General features: G+C 48.3%; 1 annotated feature.

Moving 5' to 3' along the window:
- Positions 7,030 to 7,529: an enhancer, noted in NCBI's record as "H3K4me1 hESC enhancer chr12:114132877-114133376 (GRCh37/hg19 assembly coordinates)". NCBI's record gives its function as "activates a minimal SCP1, AML or CMV promoter by ChIP-STARR-seq in naive H9 embryonic stem cells {active_cell/tissue: H9 hESC(naive)}" and the evidence as "EXISTENCE:reporter gene assay evidence [ECO:0000049][PMID:30033119]".

Raw genomic sequence — 12,196 nt, 5'->3', positions numbered from 1 at the left:
CAGCTGGGTAAAATGCAGAGCTCAGATTCCAACTCAAGTCTGACACAGTTCTTGCTATTCACTACCTGTCCTCCAACTGCAATGAGTTAATTATTTATACAATTGCTTAAGTCCCATCTTCCCTGCCGCTTCACGAGATCAAGGCCAAGGTCCACGCCTGTTTCATTCCCATTGCATCTCCAGAGTCAGGCAGAGGACCTAGCAGAGAGTGGGTCCACAGTGAATATTTGCAGAATGAATTTTGAAAGGAAGAAAGGAAGGAGGAAGAGAGGGGAAAAATGGAAGGAATGAAGGAAGGAATGAAGGAAGGAAGGAAGGAAGGAAGGGAGGAAAGATGGAAGGAAGGGGGAGAGAAGGAGGGAGGAAGGATGGAGGGAAGGAAGGAAAAAAGGAAAGGAGGGAGGGAGGAAGGGAGAGAGGAAGGAAGGAAGGAAGGAAGGAAGGAAGGAAGGAAGGGAGGGAGGGAGGGAGGGAGGGAGGGAGGGAGAGAAAAGGGAAGGAGAAAGGGAGGGAAGAAGGAAGGAAGAAAAGGAGGGAAAGAAGAGAAGGATGAAGGAAGGAAGGAAGAAAGAAAGGAAGGAAGGAAGGAAGGGAGGGAGAAAGTAGGAAGCAGGAAGAAGGAAGGAGCTTATAACCCAGCGTCCCCAGCATGCTTGCCCTCACATTTCTGCTTGTCTGCTCTGCAGTGAAAGGTACACTATGAAAGAGGAAATGTTGAGCACAGCCACAGAGGCAGGAGGGGTGGACACATAAAAAGACCTTCACGCTGTATGGTATATATATATGGTATATATATATGGTGTATATATATATATGGTGTATATATATATATGGTGTATATATATATGGTATATATATATGGTATATATATGGTATATATATATGGTATATATATGGTGTATATATATATGGTATATATATATGGTATATATATATGGTGTATATATATATGGTGTATATATATGATATATATATGATATATATATGATATATATATGGTATATATATATATGGTATATATATATATGGTGTATATATATATGGTGTGTATATATATATATGGTATATATATATATAATTGAGGAGTCTTAGACAGAGAGGGAAAGAAGAGACTCCCAAATTCTAGTCTCCGCTCTGTGACTCACCATGTGACCTTAGGCAAGTCAGTTTATTCCTCAAAGATGGTCTTCATTTTTCCTGTTTCCCTGCCTCATAGGGCTGTTCTGAGGACAAGAAGGGAAAATGCACTTTTCAACCCCAGGTTGATCCAATGACAGTGTTAGCCTCCCTGCCCTCAATGCAGATCTAATCAAAGGACAGCTCCCTCCAGCCTGGAGGGGAGAAAGCCATTAGGCAGGTGTGAGGAGCACAGCTGGGCAGCTGCATGGTTGAATCTTGCCTCTGGGATTCGCTTGCTGTGAGACCTTGGGCAACAGACTCACTCCCTCTTGGTCTCGGTCTCTAATTTGCAACTGGAGGAAAACGCTAGGCATGCCTCCCTCACAGGGTGTAGTGATGACTCAGTGAGACGGGGCTTGCCCAGTGCCTGGCCCATGGTCAGCACTGACTGCACAGGAGCTGCTCTTTGTAATAATGCTGAACGTTAGTGAAATCAGCCTGGCAGCCAGGCTGAGGACTGTGGAGGTTTGGAGGGCTTTCTGGAGAAGGTGGGGTCTGGAGAAATGTTGAGTGAATTTGATTTTGAAGAAATGGCTTCACTGAAAGCACCAAAGTCAGAATGGAAAAGACATTTGCAGGGAGCAGGAGAGCCTCCAGATTTCAGGATCTCCTACAGAGTAGAAACTATCTTATAAACTTAAACTTTACGTGTTTTTTTGTTTTGTTTTTTTTCATCTTGGAAGGCGCAATGCCTTACTACTTATGTTAGCTATCTATAGCCATAATAATGCTCTGTAACAAACAATCACAAAACCTGCCAAGTGCAGTGGCTCATGTCTGTAATCCCAGCACTTTGGGAAGCCAAGGCGGGAGGATAACTTGAGACCAAGCATTCAAGACTGGCCTGGGCCACATACTGAGACCCTATCTCTACAAAAAATAAAATAGCTGGGTATGGTGGTGTGTGCCTGTAGTCCAAGCAACTGGAGAGGCTGAGGTGGGAGAATCACTGGAGCCCAGGAGTTCGAGGCTGCAGTGAGCTATGATTGCACCACTGCACGCCAGCCTGGGTAACAAGATGAAACCCTGTCTCTAAAACAAAACAAAACTTCCATTGTGGTTAGCAGGTGTATTAGTCTGTTCTCATGCTGCTGATAAAGACATACCCAAGACTGGGTAATTTATAAAGAAAAAGAGGTTTCATGGACTCACAGTTCCACATGGCTGAGGAGGCCTCAAAATCATGGCAGAAGGCAACAGAAGAGCAAAGGCACGTCTTACATGGCAGCAGGCAGTGCAGGGGAACTACCTTTTTATAAAACCATCAGTTCTAGTGACTCTTATTGACTATCATGAGAACGGCACAGGAAAACCCACCCCCATGATTCAGTTACCTCCCACCAGGTCCCTCATGACATGTAGGGATTATGGGAACTGCAATTCAAGATGAGATTTGGGTGGGGACACAGCAAAACCATATCAGCAGGCCGGGCAGCTCTGCTGATCTTGCCTGGGCTCATTTATGTGTCTCAGTCAGCAGGCTGATGGCTGATCTGGGATGGCCTCCACTGGGTTGATGAGGGCAGCTTAGCTGTGCTGCACAAGCCTTCATCCCCCAGCAGGTAAGCCTGAGTGTGTCCTCATGGCCCTGCAGAAGGGCAGCATCAGAGCGAGCCCAATTGCACAAGCCATTTGCAGGCTTCTGCCTGTGTTACTTTTACTAATATCCCATTGGTCAAAGCCAGTTGCATCCCTGAGCCCAGAGTCAGAATGGGTAAGGACCACAAAATCAGCAGCAAAGGATGGGTATAAACGTGGACAGGGATGCATCATGGGGGCCAATTTTGTGATCTAGCCCACCATGCTTCAATATTCAAATAGGAAAGGTTTATAATAAAAATCTCCCCTCCATGTACAACTCATGGCAACTACAGCTATGGGTCTCTTCTGTATCCATACAGAGATATTCCATGAGTTTACAACATTTTTGTAATTTTTTATAAATTTTTTAAATTCTTAATTGTTGTGGGTACACAATAGGTGTCTACATTTATGGCATACATGAGATATTTTGACACAGGCATGCAATGCGTAGTAATCACATCATGGAGAATGAGGTATCTGTCCCCTCAAGCATTTATCCTTTGTGTTATAAACAATCCAGTTATACTCTTTTAGTTATTTTAAAATGTACAATTAGGCCAGGCACGATGGCTCACACCTGTACTCCCAGCACTTTGGGAGGCCGAGGCAGGTGGATAACTTGAGGTCAGTTCAAGACCAGCCTGGACAACATGGTGAAATCCCATCTCTACTAAAAATACAAAAAATTACCTGGGCATGCTGGTACACGCCTGTAGTCCCAGTTACTCGGGAGGCTGAGGCAGGAGAATCGCTTGAACCCAGGAGGCAGAGGTTGCAGTGAGCCGAGATCGCACCACTGCACTCCAGCCTGGGCGACAGAGAGAGACTCTGTCTCAAAAACAAACAAACAAAAACATAATTAAATTATTATTGACTATAGACACCTTATTGTGCTATCAAATACTAGGTCTTATTCATTCTTTCTATTTTTTTTTTTATCCATTAACCATCCCCACCTCCCCCTGACCCCCCACTACCCTTCCCACCCCCTGCTAACCATCCATTTTTATAATTTTTATGCCTCAGTTGTGCCCAGCCCTTTCCCTACTATCCTCTTAAATCAGCACTTGCCATGGTGCCGAGGCTTTGCCATCATCCTACTTGGGTTCAAGTACTGCCTGTTGGCAGTGTGACCTTGGGCACGTCATTGTCATTCACGGAGCCTCAGTTTCTTCGTCTGTAAAATGGGAGTGATAGTGTGTATCTTGCAGGGGTTATTGGGAGGCTTAAACAACATCCTACATACCAAGTCCTGGATATAGTAACTATCAGATAATTGCTTTGTCATTTTTATCATCATCATTATTGTTGTTTTGTTAACTCACGAAGGCATAATGTCCTCCCCTGGTTTCAAAGCTTCTGGAACTCCCAATAGGAAAGGGCTTTCCTTTCCACGTCTGGGAGCCAGCTGACCATCTGCCAGGAGGGATTTCTGTTTAACAAGCTCTTGTAATCTTTGCTGTGATCACGACTCCCTCCCGGGTCTGTCGCTCCTCTGGGGCTTGCAGCCTCTTAGGCTAAGCCTCTGATGGAGCTATGAATATCTGAGCACCTGACCCCGCATTTCAATGTGCCCAGGCTGGTCCCTGAGCCTGCGTGTTTCCTGGGGATCTGACCCAGGAAGGCTGTTTTACATCCTCTCTTTCCAGAAACCCCCACCTCCCCAGCACCAGAAATGTTTACTCATTCAGGCCTTTCACTCAGCAAATATTTATTAAACACCTTACTGTATGCCAGGTCCTGGCATAGACCTAATAGCAATGGTCAGTAACATCTGACTACTGTTTCTGAATCTCCAAGACATTTTCTTGGCCTCTTGAGAAGACAGTTGAAATGCTTGGCCGAAACAGGGTAATTAGACCCAATTTATGGTTACATGGTCAGTTCATTTCCAAGAGTTTGTCTCAAGTTCCTGTCTTAGGGAACTTTCGGCAGGTTCTTTAGAAGCAAAGCCTGTGAAGGGAATTCTTATGCAAGTGATTTATTGAGAAGGCTCTCGGGTGACACCTAGAAGGGACCGAGGGATGGGGACAGGGCAGGCAGAGAAGCTATGCAAGGATGGGGTTGCAGGTGAGGTCTTGACCCAGCCTGATCCCGCAGAAAGCTCTGGAGTTTCTATTGTACTTCAGAGTCTGTCCCACTTCAAGGCAAGGGAACAGAACTTCTGTACCCTGACATGAGTCTGTCATTGGCTATAGGTTGCCCCCAAGGCATTTGGGGGAGGCAGATGCAACTCCAAGCCACTTCTAGGAAGGCAGCTCCAAGCATCTAAGGGCCACTCTCCAAGCAAAGCTGCAGGAGTGAAGGCTTCGTCGCAGCACCAGCTGATGGGCAGGCACGCTGAACCGTAAAAGAGACCCCACAGAAATAAGCTGAGCCCCTCCCTGCACCTGACATTTCCTCCTGACCCAATCCCAGGCAATCACATGATTATTGATGACTGTCACTGAGCTGCAGGGAGGTGGCTCCAAGCACAGATGTGGCATCAGATAAACGCAGTTTCTAATACAGCCTTCTCTGTTCACTAGCTGTGTGATGGGGGGAAAGTCACTCTACCTCTCTGAGCTTCAATTTCTTCCCCAAAATAATGAAGATAAGACCCGTCTCAGAGCGCTGTTGGGATTCATGTGTTTGGCCAGTGCCTGATACCTACTGAATACTCCACAGTCATTATCAAGGCAGAGCAAGAGTTTGAACCCAGGATTTCTTGGGTCCCAGTGCTTTGTAATAACCATAAGGCCTTGAAAAAACTTCAGAAACACCCTCTGGATCTTAGTATGTTTTTTTTCATCCAAAAAAGTAGGCTGATTTCTCTCCTGCCTGTTTCTCTGGTACTTTGAGAGGGTGTACATGGCACTGTGAGATAATCCGATTTTCAAGGCTGGAAGAGACTTGGCAATGACCTCATTCCCTCTCTGTTATTGGGGCCATTTGACAGATGAGTAAATGGAGGCCCAGAGAAGTTAACCAACTTCCCTGACAGCAGAGTTAAGAGAGGAACTTGAAATTCCTACTTCCCACTTCCAGGTTCTTCCCTCCCAGCAGGATGGCCACTCCCTCTCCAGGTGAGCAAATCACTGTCCCCACTGGCTGTAGTTTCCCAATCCAGAAATCATTAAGGGGGCAGACTAGATGCTCTCCAAATCCCTTCAGCTTTGAACATTTCTTGCCTCCAGGTATACCAGGGTGCTCTGCAATCCCAATAGTACCAAGGAGGATTTCATTCCAGCCATCACAACCCATCTTTGGCCATAGCCAGCAGCAGAATATACTGGGCAGCAAGCTGACATGCCCATTTTACAGATGAGGAAACAGAGGCTCCAAAAGACTTGCCTTTGGGAGATTAGGATCTGCAGTGCCTACATACCTGCAGTCCCACCTGAGGGGGTGAGGAAGGCCCAAAAAAAGAGATGAGGGAATCCAGGGATTTTATTTTCCCACAGGATCACATTTACCTTAACCTCCTAACTCACAGCCAGGTCACCGGAAACTTCCCACAGATTTCCCGCTGGAATAATTATCCAATAAAGGCAGCCCCATCTTGGACAGTTGTCTTGGCCCAGAGCTGCAGGGTCCAGGATGGCTGTGGGGAGCCATGCTCCATCCAGGGGGCTGTAATGAAGGACACATGCCAAGACATGGGGATCATTACAGAGCAGCCCGTGGGGCCATGGGTGGAGGGATGTAGGGTGTCCCCACATCATCCTAAGGGCTGGAATGCCAGTCATGAGCACGTGACTCTGAAGGCACAGGGCCATCTGCTCTGCTCCTCGACCCCGGGAGGTAACCTGGACATCTCAAGGGACATGGGATGAGGGATGAGGAGGGTGGCTGGAGATGGAAGCAAGGGTTCACCCACCAGGCTCTGCTGTCTTTCTGGGCTGAAGGCAAAACCTGCTTCATGAGAATACACTACTAGCATGAGGGCGCTGCCCTCGGGGTGGTCGGGTGCTTTCCAGCACTGTGAATCGTCTCATTTCATCCTCGTAGTAGATGTTGTTGGGGCTGTCAGATCCCCGTGGCTGCTGGAGTTGCCCCCTTCTTAGAGATTTGCCTTCTGCTGATGTGAGCCGATGCCTGGGTGTTTACACCCCCACCCCTCCCTGAGTAGCCATCAACATAGACTCACACCTGGCCCCCTTGCTAAGGTGGGATGACTTCAAGCTCAATTTATGCTCCAGAGCCCCTGTGGGATTAGGCCCAAAGCAGGGACCACACCCTTGCTCAGCCCCTCCCCGGGTCCTATCCTGTGTCTCCCCTCCTTTTGAGGTTTTCCTTTCAAGCCCACTCCCCAGATAAATCCTATACACCCCATCCATGTCCCAGGCTTTGCTTCTGAGGGGCCCGACCTAGAACAACCTGCAAAACGACCCCAGAACATTGTCACTGAAAATCAAGCCCCTACGACAGATGAGAGGGAAGGTCACTTGCCCAGAGTCACAAGGCACAGGTTTGACCCAGGTCTGTCTCAGAAAATGCTTGGGCTTGGCTGACCTCTGTGGAAGCTCATTGCAGCCAAGACGGGGATACTTGGGAGGTCTGGGGGCTGGAGGAGGCCTGGGTCACAAAGACCATTGCCAGCGAGGACACACAGCTCACCCTTTGGGATAATGAGGCCATTGGCAAGCAGGAAGAAGAGATGGCCAGGGAGGGGGAGGTAAAGAGAGCCGGGTGAACCAGGCCAGGCGGCTGTGCCCATCAGGAAGGGAGGTGGAGGACGTCAGCACCTCACCCTCAGGCCTGAGCAGCTGGGGTCCCAGGTGGCTGAGTTACCGCGCCCTGTCGCTGGCAGACAGGGCCAGCCTTGCCCTCCACTTCAGGGGTACTTGACGTTCCAGTAATAATAGGAGACATTGAGGCCTGTTCTCCTCCAGCTCCGGGCAGCTGCCACCAAGATGGCCCGACTGAGCCAAGGACATCGGAAACGCTGAAGAACGTACCCTGGATGAGCTCAGAGGCTGCTGGCTTTAAAGGTCTCAGCCAGAAAGCAAGCCTCCCTGCATGGCTTCATCTCTCAAACACGATTCACTGCACCTGAAGAAGGAAAGCCAAACGCCACAGTGTCCCTGCCCCTGTCTCTCAACAGGCTTGTGTCCGTGACCCCTGCAGGAGGGGCATGGCGTGCTTCCTTCCTTCCACACCATCCCCCTTCCAGGCAAATAATCCAGCTCTAGCTTGCTTTGCGGACTTGCCAGATCACCCTTCCCATCACAGTTTCCCAATCTTTCTTCTCTTCCTTGCAAAGGCGTGTATTAAGGGAGATGGCAAGTCATTCATTCGATATAAGCTAATTGAGCACCTACTATGTGTTGGCTGTGGGGGATGCAGCAGCGCATAAGACGATAGGTCCCAGAGCTTAATTGGGGGTGGAAGGTGACGCACCATAAACAAGTAAACACACAGCTGATGTTGGGGTCGGGGGGGTGCAGCTGATAATGGGATTCACCCTCCAGAGGCAGAGCACTTAATTAACTTCTGGGACAAGAGGAGGGGAAGGGAAAATGAGGCTCTTAAGGGGACAGGCCAAAGGCTCTCACCCCATGATCAGCCAGGATTCAGCCAAGGACATAAAATCTCAGGTTCAATAAATATTAACTGACAACCTAGTCTGTGCACAGAGCTGTGCTAGACACTAGAGATACAGAAGTGAACAAAACAGACAACACCCTTGCCCTCCTGGAGCTGACATTCTTGTGCAGGAGAGGGACAGATGCTACATGGGCACATAAATACGTGAAGATTATTAAGAATAGCTGCTGTTGTGCAGGAAGGCTTAGCCTTTGCCAGGAAACGTTAGATACAAGATGCGGCAGGGCGGAAAACAGGGAGGGTCCCTGCTTTCAGCCAGCAGCTAAACGGTCAAGTTCTATGTACCGGCTGAGAATAGGGCCTGGGGATGAAAGCCAGAGAAGCCTCTCTCAGAAGCCAGGGAAGTGGCTGCTCACCCGCTTAATCCCTCCATGGCTCCCCATTCCCTCCCAATACAATCCACACCGGAGACTACAAGGCCCCACCCACATCCCAAATATCCTGTCAGATGCACTTCCCATCAGCCCTGTCTGACCTCTGGCCTTTCCCCCTGTTCTTACTGTCGGGGAGACTTTCTGTAACCCCATACCAGCCCCACTGTCTCCCCCAACCACTTATCCTTTGGGTACCAGTTTTGAAGTCACCTCCCCCAGGAAGCCTTCCCTGCTCACAACATAGGATAAAGTGCTTGTACCTGGAGGTTATGCCACCCCAGGACACCCCATCTATTTGTTGGCAAGCCCTGGGGGTAGAAACGGGGTCTGTCTTGTCCACAGTTTTCTCTCTATTGCTAGCACAGAGCCAGGCACACAGCATGCAATAAATGACTTAGTGATCAAATGACTGAATATATCTCCCACGAACATATCTACTGTGGTGCCTAAAATCCCACCATTTACCACTCTTGCAGGTTAAGGCGGAGTCAGTACACTACAACCCACGTGCATGCGCCTGTTCGTTTATCTCTATGGCTACATTGTTGCTACTACTGCAGAGTGTAGGAGCTGCGAAAAAGACCCACCCTATGGCCACAAAACCTAAAACATTTACTATCCGTCCCCTCAGAAAAAAGTTTGCCTGCCCCTATGTTAAGAAATCCAACGACCCTGTCCTGAAATAGGCTCAGCTTCCTTGTCTGTAAAATGGGGACGACACTAGTGCCTACCTGTTAGGGTCACTGGGAGCAGAATACAACGCTTAGAACAGTGCCTGGCACTGAGATTCCTGGGTGTCCACTGTTAATACTGTTACTATTTCCGTGGGCCACTCCATCAGATCAGCTGGAAGAACTCTCTCAGAGAGACGGAACCCAGGCTAGGAATGAAGGGGCCAGGAAGAAAGAGGTCACGAGATTGAGGGGCTCTGGAAAGAGAGGCTGCAGTTTTGTTCACCTCCTCCAAAGCAAGCGCAGGGGTCTCCCTGGGAATTAGAGTCCCCCTGTCATGTGGGAAAGAGCCTGTGGAGCCTCTGTCCCCTGCCCCCAGTGCCAGGTCTGTCTCCCCCGCCTTGTCCCACACACACACACACCATTCACACATGCTCACAGCATTCATGCTAGAATGTATACACACTCACATACACACTTAGGCACCCACCTACACCCTCATGCGCACACAATACATATACCAGGACACACTCTCCACTCACACACACACTCATTCACACACCAACCACTAACACGCTTGCACAACCCCCACACCTTGCACACTTGCACGTATGCCCACAGTTGAACACACACACACATGACCTTCCTGTATCTTCTCTGCCCCAGTGCCATGACAACATACTTGAACACATTTCTTTCCTTTTCCAACGCATCTCTTGGTGAAGACGCTTTTTGCAGAGAATGAGACACACAGAGCAAGTGAGAGAGAAGAATTCTGTGTCTGAACCATTCTGGTGGCCCCGGCGGCAACAGGGATTTCACGGTCCCTCTCTGTGGGGCTCACTTACTCCATGGTTTTCCCAAGCACGTCCACCTATTTGAGCTGGAGGGTGCATGTGTCGGAGTGTGTGCGGCGCATGGGTGCGCATGCTGGGGTGAGTACAAGCTCCTGAGCCACTCCCTTTTCTGGGGATTGCAGCCCCTCCTCTAACCATGGCATCCCTGGAGCCCAGCCGGCGGTTGAGGCCATGGGAGGCAGTACAGCACTTAGCCCGTGACTCAGAACACAGGCTATAAAGGCAGTCGGGCCTGGGTTCAAATCCTGGCCCCTCCCCTCACCAAGCTGTGACTTGGAGAAAGTGTCTTCACTTCTCCAGGCCTCAGTCATCTCATCTGGAAGATGAGGATAATCACGGTACCTCTCCCAGAGAGTGTCAGAAGTAACGGAGCATACCAGAATGCTCAGAACAGCACCAAGTACCTCCTAAGACCTGGGTAGCTGGAAGCTGACATTATGACCTAAGCCAAGAGAACTTGGCTCCACCGTTGGCTCACTGTTTGGCAAACCTCACAATCTCCATCTTCCTCACTTGGACAGCAGGAAGACAATGCCCTCACACCATGTCCTCACAGGGAGGAAGGTGGTGTTCCTTTACAGCATGGAGCATCCCAGGGGCTGTTTCCCCAAACCCATAGCTGTACCAGCCCCTGACCCCCACCCCAACACACACCCAATGGCAAGACTAGGTTAATCCCGAACATTCCCAACAGCTCAGGGTTCAAATCCTGGCCCCTCCTCTCACTGAATTGTGATTTTGAGAAAGTATCTTCACTTCTCTGAGCCTCAGTCATCTCCTCTGCATTATCATCTCCACCCCATCCAGGGAGGTAGGGTCGATTTTGGATATGATGCCAACGTTTTAACAATTTTTAATTTTACTGGTATATAATAACTGTACATATTTTACAGTACATGTTTGATCATTTGATACATGTGTATAATCAAATCAGGGTAACTGGGATATCCACCACCTTAAATATTTATCTTTTCTTTACTCCAAGAACATTCGAATTCTTCTTTTCTAGCTATTTTGAAATGTACAATCAATTAATGTTAATGATAGCCACGCTACAGCTCTATTGGCCACTGGGTCTTATTGCTGCCATCTAAGTATGTATTTGTACCCATTAATCAAGCTCTCTTCATCCTCCCTTCCTCACCCTTCCCAGCCTCCGGTAACCTCCAATCTACCATCTTCATGAGATCCACTTTTTTTTAGCCTACATATGTGTGAGGGCATGCAATACTTGTCTTTGTGAGCTTGGCTTGTTTCACTTAAACATGATGACCTCCAGCTCCATCCATGTTGCTGCAAATGGCAGGATTTTATCCTTTTTCATGGCTAATATTCCATTGTGTATATATCCACCACATTTTCTTTATCCATTCATCTATTGATGGGCCCTTAGGTTGATTCCATATTCAGTCTGCCCATTTTCAAGGTGAGGAAACTGAGGTTCTCCCATGGGGAATTAATACTGGAGCTAGAACTTGACCCTACCAAGCAAAGCTAAGGACTCTCAGCCTCAGGCCTTTGTTCTTGTTCCATCCTCTCTGCCTTCATAGCCGGCTCCATCTCACCCTTCAGGTCTCAGCTTAAATGTCACCTCCAAGACAGTCCTTCACTGACAACCTCAAAAATAGCATCTCCAATCCCTATTTGTCATGGAATCTCACTTTATTCTCCTCATAGCACCTGTGACTCTGAAATTGTCTGTCTCTCTCTCTGCAACTAGAACATCATCTCACATCTCAACGATGGCAGAAAATTTTTCTTTCTTAGTCCTTCCTTAGCACCCACTGTTGAATCAAGTTCAACAAGTAATTGTTGAATGAATGAATACAATATGGTTTTCACACTTTCTTTCTTCTCTTTCCCTTTTGACCAAATATATTTATTGCTCAGACTGGCTCACTCACTGTGGTCATGAAGCTAGGAGGGAATCCGCTCTCTTGCA

Source organism: Homo sapiens, chromosome 12 (genome assembly GCF_000001405.40).
Source record: "Homo sapiens chromosome 12, GRCh38.p14 Primary Assembly".
Taxonomy (NCBI): Eukaryota; Metazoa; Chordata; class Mammalia; order Primates; family Hominidae; genus Homo; species Homo sapiens.
Note: the sequence above shows the minus strand (reverse complement) of the source record. Positions and strands in the feature narration are given on the sequence as shown.